Source organism: Homo sapiens, chromosome X (genome assembly GCF_000001405.40).
Source record: "Homo sapiens chromosome X, GRCh38.p14 Primary Assembly".
In the NCBI taxonomy this organism is placed as follows: Eukaryota; Metazoa; Chordata; class Mammalia; order Primates; family Hominidae; genus Homo; species Homo sapiens.
In genome coordinates this window covers 110,013,183-110,036,104 of record NC_000023.11, presented here as the reverse complement: position 1 = coordinate 110,036,104, position 22,922 = coordinate 110,013,183, and the positions used below count along the sequence as shown (strand labels likewise).

Below are 22,922 nucleotides of genomic sequence, written 5' to 3'. Positions count from 1 at the left end.
ACCTTAACAAAGAATTACACATTAACTTAGATGCCATTTTTTTAAAATTTGCTTTAAAAAAAAGATTTTGCTTTAGTGACAATATCTGATGTTGGTGAGGATGAGTTGGAAGAGGCTCTCTCTGTCCCCACTGCTAGTAGGAATGTACATAAGCACTACCTTTTTTAAAAAAAAACAACAAAAAAAGAGATATTAAGCTCCTTAAAAACATCCATACCCCTGTCCTGGTAACTCCACTTCAAGGAAAGTGACCTACAAAATAATGTGAAACACAAAGATTTGTACAAGAGTAAACTTTTTAAAGTTTATAACTGCAAAAAAAAAAAAATAGGAGCACATTGGGAGGCCGAAGTGGGCGGATCACTTGAGATCAGGAGTTCGAGACCAGCCTGGACAACATGGTAAAACCCCATCTCTACTAAAAAATACAAAAATTAGCTGGCCGCGGTGATGGTAGCCTGTAGTCCCAGCTACTTGGGAGGCTGAGGCACAAGAATTGCTTGAACCTGGGAAGCAGAGGTTGCAGTGAGCTGAGATCGTGCCACTGCACTCCAGCCTGGGTGACAGAGCAAGAATCCATCCCCCCTAAAAAAAAAAAAAGGAAATGGCTAGGTAAATTATGATCCAGTTACATACAGGATGGAGTACCACATAGGCATTAAGAGTTATGCCAACAAGTTTTAAATAACACAGGAAACGTTTATGAGGATGCTTAGTGAAAAAAATCAGGTATAAAATTGGCAATATACAGTATAGACACAAGCATGTAAAATAATGTGAAGAGAAGAAGGAGAATAAGCAAAAATGTTAACATTTTTGTGGCAAGACTATGAGTGATTTTTATTTATTTTTTTCATTTCTTTTTTTAATTTTATTTTATTATTATTATACTTTAAGTTTTAGGGTACATGTGCACAACGTGCATGTTAGTTACATATGTATACATGTGCCATGCTGGTGTGCTGCACCCATTAACTCGTCATTTAGCATTAGGTATATCTACTAATGCTATCCCTCCCCCCTCCCCCCACCCCACAACAGTCCCCAGAGTGTGATGTTCCCCTTCCTGTGTTCATGTGTTCTCATTGTTCAATTCCCACCAATGAGTGAGAATATGCGGTGTTTGGTTTTTTGTTCTTGCGATAGTTTACTGAGAATGATGATTTCCAATTTCATCCATGTCCCTACAAAGGACATGAACTCATCATTTTTTATGGCTACATAGTATTCCATGGTGTATATGTGCCACATTTTCTTAATCCAGTCTATCATTGTTGGACATTTGGGTTGGTTCCAAGTCTTTGCTATTGTGAATAGTGCCGCAATAAACATACGTGTGCATGTGTCTTTATAGCAGCATGATTTATAGTCCTTTGGGTATATACCCAGTAATGGGATGGCTGGGTCAAATGGTATTTCTAGTTCTAGATCCCTGAGGAATCGCCACACTGACTTCCACAATGGTTGAACTAGTTTTATTTTCTATAGCAGTGTTCAGCAAACAATAACCCGCGAACCAAACGTGGCCCACTGACTGATTTGTATATAGTTTTAGTAGAACACTGCCACACACATTCACTCACATACTGGCATTATCTGTAGCTGCTTTTGTGCTTCAATAGCAGAGTTGAGTAGTTGTGGCAGACACAGCATGGTTCACAAAGCCTAAAACATTTACTATCTGGCCCTTTACAGAAAAAGTTTGCCAAATTCTTTAGTTTCCAAATTTTCTATAATGAGTATGCATTGCTTTTGCAACCTTTTTCTAAGAGGTCTATTTCCACATCATGAAGAGCCTTAAGGAACAGCTCACCAATTCTGGATTTTATTTTGTAAGTAACTGAGAGCACTAGAAGTTTCCGAGGAGGGTAGAACATGATCTGACATGATGCCAACTAGTAAAACACAGAACACCAAGTCACATAAGAAGGTGAAATTTAAACTATATGCCAGGCAAATTCTATTATTCATCAAACAGCTGTGATTCTGGGTCACTTCTCTGTTACAGGAGAAGGTTAGCCTAAGATCTGGCTTATTATTTTCAGTCTTCCGCCTCTGAATGAACTCTATGACATGGCCTCCTCCCAGTATTAATGACCAATGGAATTTTTCCCTCCAAAGAAGTTGGGTGGGCGGTGGGGCGGGGGGGAATACAAATTTGTGAGTTTTGCCTGCAGAGGCAGTTTAAAAGCTGAGGGTAGTTATTCCTGTCCTCTTGGAGTCAGTCCTCCATTTTCCAAGCTTTTCCCTGTTTCCTACTTTACTGTACTGTTCTGGAAGTATAAGGGGAAAACAGGAAGATGGTACTGGGTAAAAGTGGGGATCAGGGAAAAGCAAAAAAGGAGAGATTAGAAAGTATCTGATTCTCTGCCTCAAGAGCCCTCAAGGAGTCCTTAGATCTACCCACCCTCAGAACCCGATGAAGAAGACCCTGAGACCTATCCCCAGTGAATATGGGCCATCTGTTTGGTTTTACCTTTAGGAAAAGGAAAGAGCTATCTTTCTAAGAGAAAGCCTCTATATCCACAAGCTTCCTCCAGATGCTAGATGCCTTTGCTACCTGCCTGATACCTACTTCCCCAGGGGAACTACAAATAACCAGTTCATACAAATGACTGTTTACTCATTCTCTCAGGCATGAACACAGCCAAAGGATAGAAATGGTCTGAAGTGTAGTTTCTTTTCAAATAAAACATACTACCAATCACAAAGAAGATTAATCACCTACAGAATGAGAAACTCCAAACTACCATCATCAGGTTTGGATGGCATGAAAACACAGTGAATAGGTCTCTGGGTTCTTTTTTTCCTGTAAAGAAACGACATTTTTTGCATTCCAGCAAATTTTGGCTGTGAATTTCATTTGGGCACCTTATAAAATGGAACAATTTGCATGTAATTCTGCTAGCTTTTTTTTCTTTGAATTTATTTATATTGTCTTCTATTGGTTAGAGACAGTGAGAGAAGAGACAGAATGCACTGAGGTGCTCAATTATTTAACAGATCCTACTTAACATTTTATATTTTAACATAAACCCGTGCCAACAATTGTTCTCATGAGCTTTCTAAACCATTAAGCTACACTGCTCTCCTTCTTCTAAATCAAATATAAGTAATTTGTTGTCATAGCAATGCTTCTTCCTACTCCAAAACAGTTCAATACATGCTTTGTTTTAGCCGGCAACTATCTGTCTACCAAAATTGGCCATAATCTTCCATCTCCTTGACAAATGTCTTATTAAATTTAGCTGCCTGGCTTTTACAGTCATCAGGAGACTGTATTTCTATGGCACTTTCTAGCACCTGTACAGGAAAGGGGCTTGCAGGACCTCTCAGGAACTGCCTGGAAGCATATCACAGCTAAGTCACTGGGTGACAGCCAATCTAAGTAGTCATGATGACAACAATCCTTGGCATTATTATTCAGCTTTACAGTTTATCGAGTGCTGTCATCCACTTTACTGTATTTGAGGTAGTACTAGATGAAGCTTATATGCTTCAATTCCCTGCATCAGGTAACTAAGGTGCACATCAGTAGTTAGTTATGTTCTGTCCTTTATTCTCTGAGTTTTGAGTTCTGCTTTTCTATGCTTTTCACGTGGTATATATTAAGCTAATGAAGGCAATTAACTAAGCTTTTAGAACTGCAAAAAAAAACAACAACAACAACAACAGAGGCACAGGATACCATTGTGTCAGTTCCTTGTGCAATGGACCACTGACAGATATTAACTAAGTGTTTAGACAAACACACAAAGCCACACTGGAGAGTCAGGGCCAGTATTAAAGCTAATCTCATATTTATAGGGCATGTTACAGTTTACAAAGCCATTTCACAAAAATGATCTCATTTGAACTATACCTCTTGTCCATCCATCACCCCAACACACATAAACATAGCTAGATCAGGATGTGTGTACCTAAAATATTATTTTCTGCCTTATATTTACCCATTTTTAAATAAAGATGAGTAATTGGCATTTTTAATTCCAGTTCCTTCAACCCCTGACCTTTACTTCATGCAGCCATATTCTGTAAAATCTGGAGCCCTCTCCCCCATCAAGCTGGATTTTTTTTCACACTACACTTTTGTGAGAAATGCAAATTTAAAGGAAAAGATCAGAGAGTGAGAAGGAGATATTCTTTCACATTAGCCGAGGTCTTTATATATGTAACAAACCTGCACATTGTGCACATGTATCCTAAAACTTAAAGTATAATGATAATAATAATAATAATAAAAAGAAAAAAAAAGAGCAGGACTAAAAAAGTTGATCTCATAGAAGTAGAGAGTACAGTAGTAGTTACTAGAGGTGGGGAAAGGTAGGGGGAAAGGAGGGATTAGGGAGACATTGGTTAATGGATACGTGTATCAAAATCTCACACTGTACTTCAAAAATATATAAAATATTATGGATTAATTAAAAATAATAACAATAAGCAAAAAAACCTTTTTAAAATTATTATAAAAAGGAGGACTAGGGAAGGGCACTGCAGCTCATGCCTGTAATTCTAGCACTTTGGGAGGTTGAGGCAGGAGGATCACTTAAGGCCAGGAGTTTGAGACCAGCCTGGGCAACATAGTGAGACCCCCATCTCTTAAAAAATATATAAAACATTAGCTGGACATAGTGGTGTGCATCTGTAGTCCCAGCTACTTGGAAAGCTGAAGTGGGTAGATAGCTTGAGCACCAGAGTTTGAGGCTGCAGTGAGCCCTGATCGTGCTGCTGCACTCAAGCCTGAGTGATAGAGTGAGACCTCAACTCTTTAAAAAATGTTAAAACCCAAATGCCCATCAATGATAGACTGGATAAAGAAAATGTGGCACATATACACCATGGAATACTATGCAGCCATAAAAAACAATCAGTTAATGTCCTTTACAGGGACATGGATGAAGCTGGAAACCATCATTCTCAGCAAATTAACATAGGAACAGAAAACCGAACACCTCATGTTCTCACTCATAAGTGGGAGTCAAACAATGAGAACATATGGGCACAGGGAAGGGAACATCACATGCCGGGGCCTGTCGGCAGTTGCAGGGGAAGAGGAGGGATAACATTAGGAGAAATACTTAATGTAGACAAAGGGTTGATGGGTGCAGCAAACCACCATGGCACATGTATACCTATGTAACAAACCTACACGTTCTGCACATGTATCCCAGAACTGAAAGTATAATAAAAAATTTTAAAATTTTTAAAAATTATAAGACACAATGTATCATAATAGTTCCTTTTGAAAAGAATGTACTACCTTTTCTTTTTTCTTTTTCTTTTTTTTTTTTTTTGAGACAGAGTCTTGCTCTGTCGCCCAGGCTGGAGTGCAGTGGCGCGATCTCAGCTCACTGCAACCTCCGTCCCCTGGGTTCAAGCAATTCTACTGCCTCAGCCTCCCTAGTATCTGGGATTACAGGCGCCCACCACCACACCTGGCTAATTTTTGTATTTTTAGTAGAGATGGGGTTTCGCCATTTTGGTCAGGCTAGTCTCAAAATCCTGTGATCTGCCCGCCTCGGCCTCCAAAAGTGCTGGGATTACAGGTGTGAGCCACTGCACCCAGTGAATGTACTATCTTTTAAATGGCAACTGTCTCTTGATCCGTTGGCCTTTTCACATCTGAACAATAATAAAACCCACATTTAAAAACACGAAAAAAAATGTTAAAAAAAAAAAAAAAGAGGCCGAATGCGATGGCTCATGCCCATAATCCCATCACTTTGGGAGGCAGAGATGGAAGGATTGCTTAAGCCCAGGAGTTCAAACTAGCCTCGGCAACGCAGTGAAACCCTGTCTCTACAAAAAATACAAAAATTAGCCAGGTGTGGTGGCATGTACCTGTAATCTCAGCTACTCGGGAGGCTAAGGCAGGAGGATCACCTGAGCCCAGGGAAGTCAAGGCTACAGTGAGCCATGATCATGCCACTGCACTCCAGCCTGGGTGACAGAGTGAGACCCAGCCTCAAAAAAAAAAAAAAAAAAAAAAAAAAAAACAGACAGAGAAAAAGAGAGAGAAAAAGGGAGAGAAGAGAACAGGTCAGGGAGACAGATTACCAGAAACTTTCACTTTTGTTTTCTATATTTCTATATTTCTAATTTCTTAATTTATGATCATATGCTACTTCTATAATCAAAAAATAAAGTTTTTTTTAAAAAAAGAGACAGAGAAGTATTGTTACATTCAAATGAAAGAACACCTGAAACAAGGGACCCTAACTGGGTCACCTGCTCCCCCTTCATTGAAACTCTCTGAGTAGCAAGGAAGGGCTAGCAAAGAGGACTAGCTCAGAGTGCTTATTTAGGAAACGCAATCAGAATCAGGAGCTGCTGCCCTAACAGAGCATGAAAATAAGATTTCACAGCACCACATAGGCTCAAGAGCTGGACTGAAAAGTTCCATTCCCACCCATATGTGACCAAATGTAATTTGTCTCTCTGTATGCCTTCCAGCTTCACATAGTCTGATTCCATTCGAAAATCTAATAAAAGGGGGAATAGCTGACATCATTTCTGTTGCTTGATCCTCGTGAACACTGTCTTCTATAGACTTTATTTTTGTTTCCTGCAGAGCAAGTGAGGGAACTAATAAATTATTTAGAATCCCTATGCAACTATTATTTCAATTTCTCCACACCTCACTTCTGTCAGGGGAAAAGGGAACCAGTCATTGAACCTAAAAGGCAGAGAGGTAACAGGATTTGGCTCAAGTCTCATAGAAAATACTAGGCAGTAAGAAGAAGAAAGTCCAAGGGTCTGAAACATGTCTGACCAACCAGAAGTAATGTCTGTAAGGCCCATGAAAAATAAAGCTTTCCTTCCCAACCCCTCATGCATCCCAGAAGGAATGCAGCTTTTAAGAGTGTTTTCAATAACGACAAAAGCCTCTGGCACTTGAGGATATGAGGGTGTTAATTTTGTTTGGCAATGTCAAATTTAAGAACTCTTCAAGAAGGTGCAATTTTGATTTTAAGGGTGTTTCTTCCCTGGAGCTGAAAATCCAATTTACCCAGCCCACCCAGAGGGATGCTTTCACCATTACCAAGCCACCCTTATAGCATGTAGATCTATCCACACTCTAAGTTGCCACGGGACCCCTATATTGAACATTTTGATCAATAGATGTAACAATAAATGCAAAAATTAACATACTATACCTAATAACACAACCTCAAAAATATATAAAGTAAAGGTTAACAGTACTAAAAGAAGAAATAGACAAATCTACCTCTGTGGTGGTAAACTTTAAAAAATCTCCCAGTAACTGATAGATTAAGCAGAGAAAAAATAAGGTAAGGTGATTGAAGAGCAGCAAAATTAACAAGGTTGATCTAGTGGACACTGTATCATACTGGGCCACAAAACAAATCTCAACAAAATTCAAAGAAACAGAACATACAGATCACATTCTCTGATCACAATGTTATTAAGTTAGAAATCAGCAACAAAAAGATGACTTTTAAAACATTTAGGAAAAAACTGTTAATCCTTCTAAACAACCCATGAGTTAAGAAAGCACAATGGAAATTCCAAAATACTTGGAACTGAGCAATAACAAAATGTTATATCAAAATTAGTGGAATGTAGCTAAACAGTAGGTAGCAAAAATTATTAACCTTTTAATTCATATAGTCAAATAAGAAAGTCTAAAAATAAATAAGCTAAGCATCCCACCTAAGTTAGGAAAAGAACAAGAGACATAACTCCAAAGAAAATATGAAGGAGAAAACAGATTTTTAAAATAAGCAGCAATTAACAAAATAGAAAACAAACATGTAACAGTTCCATCAACAAAGTCTCAATTATTTCCTATAAAAGATAAATAAAACTTACAAACTACTAGTGAGATTGATTTTTTAGTAGCAAATAATAGTATGAGAGAAAAGGAAGAAATCTTTTAAATATCTGTAGTGTTTATAGTTAAGACGCTATTAACAATTTTAAACCAATAAATTTGAAAATTTAGACAAAATGGTCAAATTCCTAGCAAAACATAAATTAAAGACACTGACTAAAGAAAAATACAATGTCTGAAAATTCCTATAACCATTAAAGAAATTGAATCAGTAGTCCATAATCTTCCCACAAAGACAATATCAAAGCCCAGATAGTTTTATAGGCAAGTTCTAACAAACCTTTAAGAAACAAATCACTCTGATCTCATGCAAACTTTTCCAAAGCTTAGAAGAAGAGGAAGCAGCATTGGCCAATCCATTTTATGAAGCTAGCACAAACTTAATAAGAAAACCTGACAAAGGCAGTATGAAAAGTGAAAACTAGAGCCAGATTCACTCACAGATTTATTTTATTTTATTTATTTATTTATTTTTATTTTTATTTTTTTTGAGACGGAGTCTTGCTCTGTCGCCCAGGCTGGAGTGCAGTGGCATGACCTCGGCTCACTGCAATCTCCACCTCCCGGATTCAAGCAATTCTCCTGTCTCAGCCTCCCGAGTAGCTAGGACTACAGGTACACACCACCACGCCCAGCTAATTTTTGTATTTTTAGTAGAGATGGGGTTTCACCATATTGGTCAGGCTGGTCTCGAACTCCTGACCTCAGGTGATCCACCCGCCTTGGCCTCCCAAAGTGCTAGGATTACAGGCATGTGAGCCACTGCGCCCAGCCCACTCACAGTGTTTAAGAATACCATGTAAAATACTAGCAAACCATATCCAGGAACAATAAAAAAGATAATATATCATGATCAAGGTGACTTGATTCTGGGAAGTACAGAGACAATTTAATATTAGAAAATCAATCAGTATAATTGACCACACTGAAAGACTAAAGAACAAAAGCAATATGATCATCTCAACAGAAGAAAAAGCTTCTGATAAAATGCAACATCCATTCATGATTTTTAAAAAATCTTAGCAAACTTAGAATAGGAGGGAACTTCTATAATCTAATAAATAATACCAACAAAAAAATTATAGTAAGGATCATACTTTATGATGAAACACTGAAAGCATATCCTTTAAGGCAGAAAACAAGATAAGAGTTGCTCAACATTGTCACTTGTATTAAGCACTATACGGGAGGTCTCAACTAAAACAGTAAGTTGAGAAAAAGATATTAAAAAAAATAATGGCCACAAAGGAAGAGACAAAGTTCTCATTATTTGCAGATTATGTACGATTGCCAAGATAGAGAACCCAAAGAATCCTCAGATGTATTAATTATAATTAACTTAAAAGCATTTAGCAAGGTTGCTGGATACAAAAATGATGCACAAAGATCAGCTGCATTTCTAAAGACCAGCAGTTACAAAATTATAACATGTTAAGTTAAAAAAGGAAACCAAAGGACTAGAGACTCAACCAAGCAGTTGGTTAAGTTTATGGTCTCTGAACTGCCTAATTTCTAATCCGAGCTCCACCCCACTAGCTGTGTGACTGTAGGCAAGCTATTTAGTTGCTCTGCACCCTACCTTTTAGAATTCTTGTGAGGATTAAATGAGTTCATGCGCATAAGGCACTTAGGACAATGCCTGGCACAAAGTAAGGGCAAAATAAATGTGAGCTGTTATCATTACTGTGAAGAAGTAGGTAATAGGCCTATTACCCACGGCTCTGAGGTTCTAACTATTGGACTCCAATACATCTCCAGGGTAGATAGAGTCAGGGAGCCACAAACTGCTATAAGAGCCAATGAAACCTACCCATGTTTTCCCGAAGGCTGGGCACTGAACTCCCACACCCAGCATACAGCTCATTACTCACACACCCTCTGCCGTCTACAGAGTAATTAGTAGAGGAACACGCCCTTTTCTCTGGAGATTTCCGCCCCAGTCGTACCAACTCTTTAACAAGGAACAAAAGTCAACAACTTCAAGTTTCCTGTGAGGATGAAATCCAGAGTTTCTAATGACTAATCTCCATCGTCAAAAGAAAAGGCAAACCTCAGCCCCTTCAGACAGCTAATGCCAGGAGAAGTTCATGAGGTATTAGAAGAAAGGTTGTTGTTACTGGCTCTATTTCTTGGGGAGCAAGGAGGAAGACTGTAACTAATATTTTTTGAATACCTAATATGTACCACACAGTGTTCCCAGAGCTTTAGAAATATTAACTCACATAATTCTCTAAATAACTTGAAGAGGTAGATAGAATTTTTAGCTCCATTTTACAAATGAAAAACATAATGACAGTGATTGGGTGACTTGCCTAAAGGCACACAGCTCATGAGTAATAGAAATTAGCTTTGAGCTCAGATCTAAGTCAAAAGCCCTATGCCAAGCCAGAAGAAGAGAAGAAATACAGGAGGTTAGTTTGTGAAATGAATGAGGGTCGTGGGTGTAATGAGTGTGACACTGAGTATTTCAATTCTCCTTCTTACTGAGACCAGAGGCCAAAATTAGAATGGGAATGCAAACAATAATTATGTGAATAGAAAACTGAAAGGCAGCAAACCAGCAGGGTATCCAAGTTAGTGTTTAGGAGGTACCCATTTCGTGGCATGACTGAGCAACATTAAAAACAAAAACAAACAAACAAAACAAATACTGCCACACTGTGGCCTCATCTCACTCACTCTTTTTCTGAAAACCAGGATATTCATGGCAGGAACATGCAATTACATGAACTTACCCAGACCTAGGTGAGAATAAGGTAAAATCAGATTGAGGTGCAGAGTTGGCAGCTGAAGAACAAGATGTGTGTGCAGCTTGGGTTTTGATGCCATCTGGTTTTTAACTCCCTCTGTATAGCAATATTGTTGGGCTTTCTAACTCAGCTGCCCTGATACCTGAGCCCACAAGTGATGAGCATCCCAAGGGCTTTGACCTAGGACCAGTGAGCAGAATGCTTAACATTTGTGTAGCACTGACTGTATGCCAAGCAGCACTGCCATCAGAGCCCACCTGTTAGGGCTTCTCCTTCCTGTCCCAAGGTAAATAATTTTGTTCCTTCTAATAGCAGTACCTAGTCTATTCTGCCTTATAAGAACCTGGAGACATACGTGAGCCAGCAGGAGAGGAGGAAAGAGCCTGGCTTTGGGGACAAGCCCTCAGAGCCTTCCCTGATGCAAGCTGATATACAAACCATCCAAAATAAAGGCCACTGGGTTCAAGAACACATATGCCAACACACACACACACACACACACACACACCCAACAATAACAACAACATAAAAATTTTAAGATCAAGCCTACCATTCTAATAGTATTAGATTTTGTAGATTATTAACCTAGTGTTCCTGAATACAAGATCTTTTCACGACACACAGATAAATGAATGATACCATACACTAGACCTAGTTATGTATCTGCCTGCTCTTAAACCCTGCAAGGAGATAAAAGTTACATGTACAATCTGTTGTTTCAATTGCTTCTCTTCTAGAAACCATCATCTCCCAAGGCCCTCTTGTAAAACAGAACACAAATTTTACTAATTCTCACACAGAGCCATAAAACATGGCATCTCGTATTTAAGTGCCCTGTTACCCTTCAGCCTTTATTCAACGTTTACCAACAGTTTTAGAGACTACAAGCCCTGAAATTAAATAACAGCTCCTTTAAGAAAGCTAGAGGACAGGCACAGTGGCTCACAACAGTAATCCCAGGACTTTGGCAGGAGGATCACGTGAGGCTAGAAGTTCGAGACCAGCCTGGGCAACACAGTGAGACCCTGTCTCTACAAAAAATTTAAAAATCAGCCAGGTGCGATGGCATGTGCCTGTGGTCCTAGTTACTCGAGAGGCTGAGGTGGAAGAACTCTTGAGTCCAAGAGTTCGAGGTTACAGTTGAGCTGTAATTACACCACTGCATCTAGCCTGAGTGATAGAACAAGACCCTGTCTCCAACAAACAAAAGAACCAAACAACAAAAAAGGAAAGCTAGTACTTTCTGATGTTAGCAAGAAGCTCACTGAAAAGAAAAAAAAAATGTTTCATTATAAATTCACAAGGGAAAACAGAAACAGTGTGTAACTGGCTAACTAACCCATCCGTGATGAACTATGTATTCTCTCCACATTTGTGTTTCTAATGCATTGTGTCCTTCATCCAATTCTACAATTTTTCCATTCTACCAGGAAGTAGCAAATGAAGCCAGAAAAGGTCTTAGATACCATCTGGTCTGACCCTCTCATTTACAGAGGCAGAAACTGAATCTCAGAGAAGGGAAGGGACTTACTTGACAAATGCAGGTGACTGGCAAGCCTCTTGATACAGTCCACCCCACAGTGGAACAGAACTATAGGTAGGATGCTTCTCTTTCAACCAGTTCTTTAAATTGGCTTGCAGAAAATTGGCAAATGGTTCTTCGTCAATACAAAAATATAATTAGTAACTTATTTTCATGTTAGGCTCCATTAGCCTAACAGTAACGAGTCAGCCAGATCTACACATCCATACCAGCTTGGTCACTTTCTAGCTGTGTGACCTTGGGTATGTTACGTAACCTCCCTGACCCTTATTTTTCTTATCTATAAAATGGGAATGCAAATAATAGCATCTATTCCACAGGATGCCTGGCACTTGGTAAGCGTTCAATAGATGTTAGTGGTGACTAGAATTATACCCTAATACTAACTGTGTGGGGAGAGGGGTCTGGAAGGAAGAATACCTCTACCTTGAATTATACCTGAACCTTCTGAGAAAGCCCCAAACTTGGATCTAAATTTCTGGCTTGGGAAGTAGCAGGGGACAAGGCCAAAAGAACCAGCCTGATGCTAGTATCACTAGGAACTGGCCCCACTCCTCTAACTCTCAGGCCCACCCATAAGGACAGGCACCTCTTGTCTTTAAGGTGAGTTTCACAAAAAGGAAAAAAAAAAATGAGGAACTGAAGTAGAAAAGTCATAAACACACTGAGCTTGGGAAAGACCCTTAGGAGGAGTAGGAAAGTGCCCTAATTAGACTAGAATCAGTGGTTGTCTCAGTAAAGGGAAAATTAGCCATCTTTAGAACTCTTGGGCTTGAGCCAGAGGTAACCAGTGCTGGCCCTTCCCACTCAAGGTTTTAAGAAAGACTAAAATTTAACCTCCCCTCCCCCAAACCATAAGGAGGCCTGGAGGCATAAAGCATATCGTTAAAGTTTTAACACAGGCCATTAGGTTCACCTGTCCTTCAAGGGCGACAGAACAGAGTGTAATAGGACCTCAAAGGGTAAGGCCATATACACCAGCCCTGGCTCTGCCATTCCCAAGTGGTGTGACCTTCAGCAAGCAGCTTTCTGCTCTGGGCTTCTTTCTCTATCTGCAAAACGACGGGCTTGAACTTCAGGAACTTGAAAGCCTCTCTGATCTCTAGCATTTTCTGGTCATAAATTCTGTACATACTTGCCACCTGAAAATACAGTAGTCAGACTGTTAATGAGCCTTGATAATAAGTTCCCTGGGGGCAGAAACCACATCTAATACTTTTGTATCTCTCTAGTACGACTAGGCCTGGAGTAATTGCTTAATACATGTTATGTGATCTAGATTCACCACACACTATCTAACATATCATAAGCTTTTTGAATGCCAGGCAGTTCTCCTCAAACCTCTCTCCCACCAGACTTTTCAAATACGTCAGATTTTACCACCGCTGGGTTTTTTAATAAAAAGAAGCATTGCACAAAGAAACAAAGCTCCTTGTCACATCATGTGACAATGATCAAATACCTATATGCCAGGCACTCTGCTCAAAAGGGGCAGATATGGGTCCTAGTGCTGGCACCCATCCTACAAGCTGTATGATTCAGAGTAAGTCTGAAAACCTATCCCTGAAAAGGCCCAATAAAGGTAGTTACTATTATTGAGAATCTTACATCTTAGATCTCTCTTGACAAGTAAACAACTAACTAGCAGGCTATGGGACCAACACTTTACAAGCAGTCCACTCCCAAGGCTTTGGGAATAAAGAGGAGGAAATAACTATATTGAGATATCACTCAATACACACACACACACACACACATTTCTAGTGGTCAGTTTAGGCTCAGAACACATTTAATCCAGTCTTCTCAACTATTGATTCCTAACCCTGGCTACAGATTAGAATCACTTGAGGAGTTTTTTCTTAAATGCCTATGTCCAGGCCCCAAGTGTAATCAATTATCTAAGAACAGGGTGTGGGAGCAGGCATTGGTTTGTGTTTTATTATCTGCTGCCCTAGGTGACTGAGAGATGCAGCCAGGGTTGAGGACTCTGACCTCCACTGTTCTCCATCTCCACTTCTAGTCCCAAACTTTAGCAGGTCCAGATGACTTAAAGGCCTTCAAGGGCTCACAAAAATTCCATTTCAGTCACTCACCAGACTATTCTCTGAGCCAGTACAATAAGTCTGCTACTGCCAAAACATTTTTTGTAACCAAAACATAAACAAAAAGGAGCTTTCTTAACCTACCGTTAGAGAAGGCGATTAGCTAGTCCAGCCTAGTCCCCAACCATTACATGTATCAGAGGCTTAATTGGCCTGAGATCTCATGCTTTTCTGGAAGCTTCCCTACTACTAAAATTGGTATTCCATTTGTCCCTTCTCAACTACCCTGCTCCCCGCTTCACACTGATGTTTCCTCATAGCAATGAGTGTCCCCTTCCTTCTCCCTCTGCAGCTCAGCACTGAATCTGACTGTCTGACACACACACACACATACAAACACACACACACAGATTTGCTTTTTTAATTCCTTCTTAATCAGCCCCTGCCTGCCTCTTGGCCACTTAGCTACTCTTCTACTTATCCCCTCCCTTTCCACTGAACTTCCTGGCAATGGGGTAACTGCCTCATTCCAGCCATAATCTCTCCATGCCCCCTGCCTCACCCCCACCAGCCACACAGACAGCAAGGCACCTGTGGCACAGCCTCCAAAACACATGATGTTTTCTCAGTTGCCAAATGTTCTCTCGTGAGTTGGCTTCCTTTGTCCATTGAATCTTTTTTAGTAAAGCTATTCTCACAGGCTGCCAATCATCCTTTCTTTATTTAAATAAGTATTTCTCTTAATTACTAAAGGAATCTACACTTAAACCAAATTCAAATAATACAGAAATGTGGTCATTAAAAAATGAGAATTCCCCTCTTTCCCTAATCACTCAGGAGTAAGTGCTATTTAGTATACATTCTTCCAGATTTTTAAAATGTGCTCATAAACATGCACATATAAAGAGGCTGCTTGGGCTTTTTTTTTTTTTTTTTTTTTTTTTTTAGAAAAAGGGGTTTCTCTCATACATATGGTTCTGCAACATTTTTGTATTTTAGCAATACATTGTGAACAACTTTGAAAGTGAATTCAGACATCAGCCTCCTTTTAAAAAGCTATACTATTCACTGGCCAGATTTACCATTCTGCTATTAATGGGTTGTTTCCCAATGTTCTGTATCCACCAACACTGATGCCATAAATATTCTGGCATGCAACTCTTCACACATTAACATTTGTAGAGTAAATATTTTAAAGTGGGTGGGGTGGCTGGCCACAGGGACCAGCCTGTAAACACCAAATCTAATTACCTTCTCTCAGGTCCTCCTTGGCCTCACCCTCTACATTTCATGACATAGAGGACCAGCTCCTGCCTTCTGAAACTCCTTCCTCTCCTGGATCTCATTCCACTTCCTGGATGGCTGCTCCGTCAGAGTCTTCTTTCTGCTCCCAAAGGAGACATTCCCCAGAATACTTTTCTTCTTTCTCTTCTCTAGCTTGCATGATGCTCTCCTCTTCTCCTCCTTTATCTTCTCGAAGGCAATACCTCCTAAATCAACATTTCTAGCCTTCACCACATCTTAATAGCCTGCTGGACAATCCATCCTCAACATCTCAAACATCTGAAAATCAACAAATCCCAAAATGAACTAATGACCTTTTCCTCTAAGCCACAGTTTCCTCATCTGGAAAACAAAGGGATTGGACTAGACTTAATTTTTAAAAAATTAGGAATCTAGAATGTACCAGAAGCTGTGCGGGGGATACAAAAATTAATAAAAACATAGACCTTACATTTGGGAACATACAATCTAAGGAGTAGGGAAGATACACAAACAATTACATAATACAAGGCAGAATAACATGCTAAAATAGACAAGAGAGGCTAAATCCGGCTTAGAGGCTTGAAGACAGCTTCACAAGAGGGAGTGTTTGGGCTGAGCCTTGAATGATAACTAGCATTTCAACAGGAAGAGAAAAGAAAGAATATTTCTGTCTAACAGTGCAGCATAAACAAAGTATAAACTCAGAGAAGAATGGAAGTGCATGGTGCTGGTGGCTGGATCAGAGAACACATGGAAGAATATACTAAATAACAAGGCTGAAAAAAAAGGTTGGGACCAAAATCACAGAAGATACCGAATCCTATCATAAGGAGATTAAGATTTCTCTACAGGCTTTATCTATGTGCCATCCCTAGTCTATATATTAATACCAGCTCTGACTGATTGATAAGTGGCTACCTAGAATGCTATGCTAAACAGATTTTAAATCTACTTGGACTCTCCCTGGGAAAGCGTGCCTATGATTGATTAGCACAGTCGGCCAGGGACAATATAAAGTGTATGCATCTATGTGTTTACCATCCCTGATGAAGGCATTAAGGAGTTATCAAAGGTTTTGGAGGAAGGGAATGGCATGATCCAACATGTATTTTACTTGTATCATTCTGGCAGTAGTGTAAAGGGTCGAGTAGTAGATAGAGTAAAGGATAGAGTAGTGTAAAGGATAGAGGAGAGAAGATCAATCACAAGGCTGCTCTAACAAGACAGGTGATGATGATGACAGTGATAAACAACAACATGAACCAGGGCAGGGGAATCAAAGAAGAAAAGGAAGAGAAATGGAAGAGATCATGAAAGGCAGAATCAAGATGACTGAGACTATGATGATGAAAAGGAGGAAGAGGGTGGAATTGAGATGTATCAAGGTTTCTAGGGATTTAACCTGGGTCACTGGATGGATTGTGATGCTGTTAAATAAGATAAGAGTACTGAAGGAACAGTATCATGGCAGATGATACTGTTTCATTCCAAATCCCCCAACCACTTTACTTAGGATGCATGGCTTTCAAGCCCTCTTGAGTACACTGGGAAGAAAAAAGCAGGATCTACATTGCTTGATGGCCCCAGCATTTATATAACCCTACATACAAACCTACCTTTCTCCCTTTTGCCAGGCTACCAAGGAAATAACATCAATATCTGATTCTAGAAACAGGTGGCCTAGGGAATGTTTAAATGTTCCTGCTCTCAAGACATGATGATTGTTCTCATTTTGATAGCACTTTCTTATATTCACAGCACATTCATATATTCACAGCACATTCACATACCTTATTTGACTTGATTCTCATATTTACCCTATAAGGTAAGAAGGGCAAAGATCATCTCTGTCTTACAGATGATAACAGCCATACTCATATTTATTAAACACTTGCCATGCACCACTATTCTAAACACTTCACATGTAGTCATGCATTTAATTCTTACAAGAACCCCATAAAGTAGATACTACTATTAATCCCCATTTTGCAGATAAGAAAACAGACCCAGAGGCTTTAGGTATACTGGTCTAGCAATAAACAAGAAAAATAATGAACTTGGAAGACCTCAAACAAAATAAAACAAAACAAATCAAAAACCATGCCTAGATATGTCAATTAACTTTCCCAGAGTTGCACAGCTAGAAAGCAGCAGAACTGGGATTTGAACCTGACTAGTCTGGCTCCAGAGCCTGCACTTTTAACTACCACACTCTATTTCTTATTATATAAGAAGACTGAGGCACAGAGAGGCTACCTGAATGGCCAAAATTACTCAGTTTTGTCAACCAGCTAGTGATGAACCTACAACCAGGACCCAGGTCTGGCTAACCCTTAATCCAGTGCTGTTTCTACTACTCAACCAAGATGAACTAACCTCTACTACTGGGCTGACAGATTATTCTGACGTTTTTCTTCTTTGGCCTTTGTCACCTCTGCTAGACTAAGGTTCTAATTTTGATCCCTTGCCCTGGAGCCCCATACAACTGTTTACTAGGATTAGATGCAGGCCTCTATTTGGAGGCAGGAAATGATGGCCTCAGTTATATCCGCAGCTGAGTGGGTCCCATTTCCAAACAACCAACATCTGCAAGCAACCCATACTGGCTCTACATGCAGGCTCAGTGAGCACACACATCCCTGTGAACTGTCTGTCCAGGGCAAACAGCAAGTAATGGTGACACCAGGGCCAGACTCCTCTGTGGAAGACAGGAAGCAAGGGCAGGAAAGTAAATTGAAAAAAACAGTTGCTATACCAGCCAGGTAAAGAGGTGGCCTGCAGGCCGGGCGCAGTGGCTCACGCCTGTAATCCCAGCACTTTGGGAGGTGGAGGCAGACAGATCACCTGAGGTCAGGAGTTCGAGACCAGCCTGACCAACATTGAAAAACCCCATCTCTACTAAAAATACAAAATTAGCCGGGCATGGTGGGGCATGCCTGTAATCCCAGCTACTCGGGAGGCTGAGGCAGGAGAATCGCTTGAACCCAGGAGGCGGAGATTGCGGTGAGCCAAGATCATGCCATTGTACTCCAGCCTGGGCAACAAGAGTGAAACTCCGTCTCAAAAAAAAAAAAAATGAAAGAAAGAAAGGAAGGAAGGAAGGAAGGAAGGAAGGAAGGAAGGAAGGAAGGAAGGAGGGAGGGAGGGAGGGAGGGAGGGAGGGAGGGAGGGAGGGAAGGAAAGAAAGAGAGAGAGAGAGAGAGAAAGAAAGAAAGAAAGAAAGAAAGAAAGAAAGAAAGAAAGGAAGGAGGTGGCCTGCAGCCAGGAGATCCTCACTTTCAAGAAGGCAATAAACAATGATGCTCAAAAAGCACAAGATTTCCATTTCTCTAATAGTGAGCAAGAAGAAAAGTCTAGTTCCTTTCATGCTGGAAGGTTAAGGATAGAAGGAGGCCATGTGTGGTATTATAGAGAGATATTGAAATGGGAGTCAGGAGACTCAGCTCTGCTTCTATTTAGCTGTGTGACTTTGGGCAAATCACTTCACCTCTCTGGGTCTCAGTTTGCTCATCTGGAAAACAAGGGATGAAAAAGAAACAAATTAGTTGTTCTCAGAGGTTTCTTTCAGCTCTGATTTGGTATCACTCTGCCATTTTAACAACCTGAGAAAGTACAGCTAGAACATCCAGTGCCTATAGTCTACCAAAGGGGAAATCAGCTAGAAGCAAAGAAAAGAAGAATTAGATAAAACAGGCCAGGTGTGGTGGCTCACTCCTATAATCCCAGCACTTTGGGAGGCTGATGCAGAAGAATCGCTTGAGCCCAGGAATTCAAGACCAGCCTAAGCAACATGGCAAGACCCCATCTCTACAAAAAACAAAAACATTAGCTGGGCGTGGTGATGCGTGCCTGTGGTTCCAGCTACTTGGGAGGCTGAGTCAAGAGGATCGCTTGAGCCCAAGGGGTCAAGGCTGCAGTGAGCCATATTCATACCACTACACTCCAGCCTGAGCAACAGAGCAAGACGTTGTTTCAAAAAAACAAAAAATTACATGAAACAAAAAACAACCTTTCTGGAAGGCTGCAAATGAGGTAATACACAGGCAGTAGACTAAGCACCATGCCTAAAGCATAATTAACGTGTATTCAAAAATGTTACAAGTGTTATTACTACCACTCCTCACTTTTCTGAGAGTGTACAAAGATAACCAGAAATTATAGTGAGTTTTCTCCTAAATTCGACTCTTTTTTGCCCATCCGGCCCTGTTACACATTTCCAGCGTTTTAAAGGCCTAAGGGAGGTCCTAAATGATCAGGGGCACCAGCTGTCCTTAATGTCCACAGACAGTTATAACTGAAAAGCAAGAACCCAACGTCAAGGAAAGAAGGGAAAGAGAAAATACAAGTGGCAAGAGCCAGGATTAATCCTCCATTCACTGCAAACTGACTGTGGAAAAGGGGGATGAAAAAACAACAGGTGCAGACCACAATGTACTTTGCAAATTGTTTTTCAGGACAGACCCAAAGCAGGGAGTAAGACATTTGGGAAGATGATCCTAGCCTGGTTTCCATGTGCGTCCATCTGAGCAAACACAGCACTGGCTGTGAGATATGGCCAAACACTACCCAGCCGGTCAGCAGACCCTGTGACACGGCGGGCTTCACATTCTTCTCCACAAAGCTAATGCAGCCTTGGCCTAAAGGCCACCCCTGACTCCGATGACCAAGACAATACCCCCCTGAAATTCCCCACAGGGCTGGGGGTCAATCAGTTCACTTGGCTGACTGGCCAGAAACCCCACATGCAAGCAAGGAAACATAACCTTGGCTTGGTGCTAGCTTGCAGGGCTATTCTGAGGAAAGGTGAACTTGAAAGCAGAGTAAAGTCAGCTGCCCTGCAGCAGAAGGGAGATCCAAATGTAGAGGCGGTCCCTTTCCTCAGGGTGCCAACATTCCCTGTGGGGCTGGGGCTCCAGGAAATAGGTAGAAATACCCACATGAAGCAGCAGCCAGTAGCAGTGGCAGCCCAAGGGACCAAGTGTGAAAGCGCTGCTGATAATGAGGCACTTGTGCACATGACTCTGAGCAACATTCCTGCAGGGTGCAGAGAATAAAGTGACAGGCGCGCACACACACACACACACACACACACACACACTCAAGTTCCTGGAACTTAAAAAAGGAAACTCTTAACAAATGCAAACCAACAATGAACAAGTGCTGATATGAAGAGGACCCTTTGTTACAATCTTCCCTAGGTCTTAGAATGTGTGAACTTTCATAACTAATTTCCAAGCGCTGCTGTTTATTTGGGTTGCTGTTTGTTTAGAAATGCCCTCTAAACCAGCTCCTCTTCCAGGAACCAGGTTATAGAAAACATGACCTTAGCTTTCTCAATTCTCCCACCTCCAAGACTAAGAAACAGCCTTCTTACCCACAATGCTTGGGAATATGCCCAGAGGCCTTCCAATGGCCTTGGCAGGATACAGCACACCCCCCACATCCCAAGGCCTGAAATCACATGATCAAGGTCTAGGCCCCAGAAGGCTGCTCTTAAGGGGATCCTTCTCTAGTGATTGGTGGCTTAGGCCCCAGACCTCAGTCTTGAAAACGAGGCCCCAGAGCAAAGTCTTGAAAAGGAGGAGAGCTGGTCTTAAGGAGAGAGGATTACCATATCCCGGAGATGTAAGAATAATTGGTTTTTTTCTGTCCATTTGCTGATGCAAAAAGCCAAGGCACAGTGAAGTCTTCTCCTGAAAGCAGCACAGTTTCCACTATACTGTGCTTCTCCTTCAGCTAAGATACTTGTTCACTTGAACCTGCCTTTCACCCAGGAGCTCTGGGGGTGGCCCTTTCTCTTCCAACAGTTACCCAGCTCTGGTAATAGTTGGCACTGGAGAAAGTTGCACTCCCCTTAATCAAAAGAAATAAATGAAAAAGTAAAAAAAAAAAAAAAAAAAAAAAGAAACAACCAAAAAAAAAAACCCATTCACCAGTCTATGCCCACCCCATTCCCCCAAGCTCACTCCTTTCATACTTCTGTCACAAACTCACTGGTTTCCTAGACTACCAATCTCAAGAGAGTTTGCACCATGGAGCCAGCCCATTGATAAAGAGCAATAATAATTAAGCCAATAGGTCCCCGGAAAGCTAAGCTTCCTAACAATGAGAGCCACCTTCTAAATTCTTTAAATCTTAGAGATGTAAGAAGAGTTGCCATTTTAAACAGAATCACCCAGTCACCCAGAAAGGACTGGATAATTTAAAGTACCTTCACATTACCCACAAACACGTCCTTAAGCCTCAAACAGCCAAACAACCCTGTCCCGCAGAAATTATTACATGGGTGCTAACTTCATGGAACCAATACCTTTGCCCACTGCATGAAATTATGATGCCAGGGAAGATTTTCTTGGAAAAGCTTTCCTGTATCAAATCCCTACCATCTTATTGCAACAACAGGCACCCAGGCTCGAAGCAGCAGCCATAGTGAGAATGATGATGACTGTCATCATCACCCTCACCATCTTAGTTGCCGACATCATCGTCATCATCATCATCATCATTTAAATGTATTGAATGTGTCTTATGTGCCAGATACTATCTTAAATGCTTTATTAATATTTTCTCATTTTTCTCACTTAATCCTCACAACAACTCTGGTAATGTTCAAGTTTGATCATATCATTTTATGAATGTGGGAACACAGGCTCAGAGAGGTTAAGTAATTTGCCCACGGTTACAGAGCTAGTGGTAGAATTTGAATCTAGGCTTTTACCACCCTAGAGCCTGTACTCTTACCCAATACACCACTATGATCTTGAAATGTTAAGTAATACTATTACTATTAAAAACTGCTAACATTTATTTAGTGCACACAATAAGCCAGAAATTCTGCTAAATACTTGATTTAAATTATTTTATTTAACCCTCACAACAACCCTATTATTATTCCCATTTTACAGATGCAGCTAAGTAACATGCCTAAGGTTACATGGTGATGGAGCTCAAACCCAAACCCAGGAAATATGGTCCAAAGGCTCTATCCACCAAGCTGAACTTGCATTAGGAAAATGAAGCATTCCTACTGCCCTACTTAAGTCAGGATCCCCGCTGTATCCCAGTCCAAGCCTACAATGTCCCAGCAAGAATTTGGCAAGTAAATGCCAATGAGGAAACTTATCTGGCCCTGATGTGTACACACCAGCCACTCAGATCTGATTAATGTTAAGAAAAGAAGATCAAAACTCTTTATAGAAGTCTCTCTTTACCCCATTTTCCTTCAACCTGATTTCTGAAGAGAACACCTGACTACCAGCCTTTTTGTGCTCTGCCCAGAACATCTAATAAGTGTTTACCCAGGACTCCCAGAGCCATAGTTAAGGGCCTTAATGTGCAATCTGGCTCTGCACCTTATTTAATCAGCACCTGAATGAAATGTCTCTTTGCTAGCAACAGCCAGAACACAGTCAGTCAGAGTCTTTCTGCAAACACAGCTGGTCGATTGGCAAAGACAATTCAATTCA

At 40.7% G+C, this 22,922-nt stretch overlaps 1 protein-coding gene across 18 annotated transcripts in view; it reads right to left on the bottom strand.

The window, feature by feature from the left end:
* TMEM164 (transmembrane protein 164) overlaps positions 1 to 22,922 on the bottom strand; it is a 181,883-nt gene that overhangs the window by 148,147 nt on the left and 10,814 nt on the right. The window contains exon 2 of one of the 18 annotated variants that reach the window (XM_047442571.1): positions 15,442 to 15,753. The exons of the other annotated variants lie outside the window; for them this stretch is intronic. The gene's annotated coding sequence lies outside the window, so the exon portion shown is untranslated. The remainder of the gene's footprint in view (positions 1 to 15,441; positions 15,754 to 22,922) is intronic. 18 annotated transcript variants of the gene reach the window in all.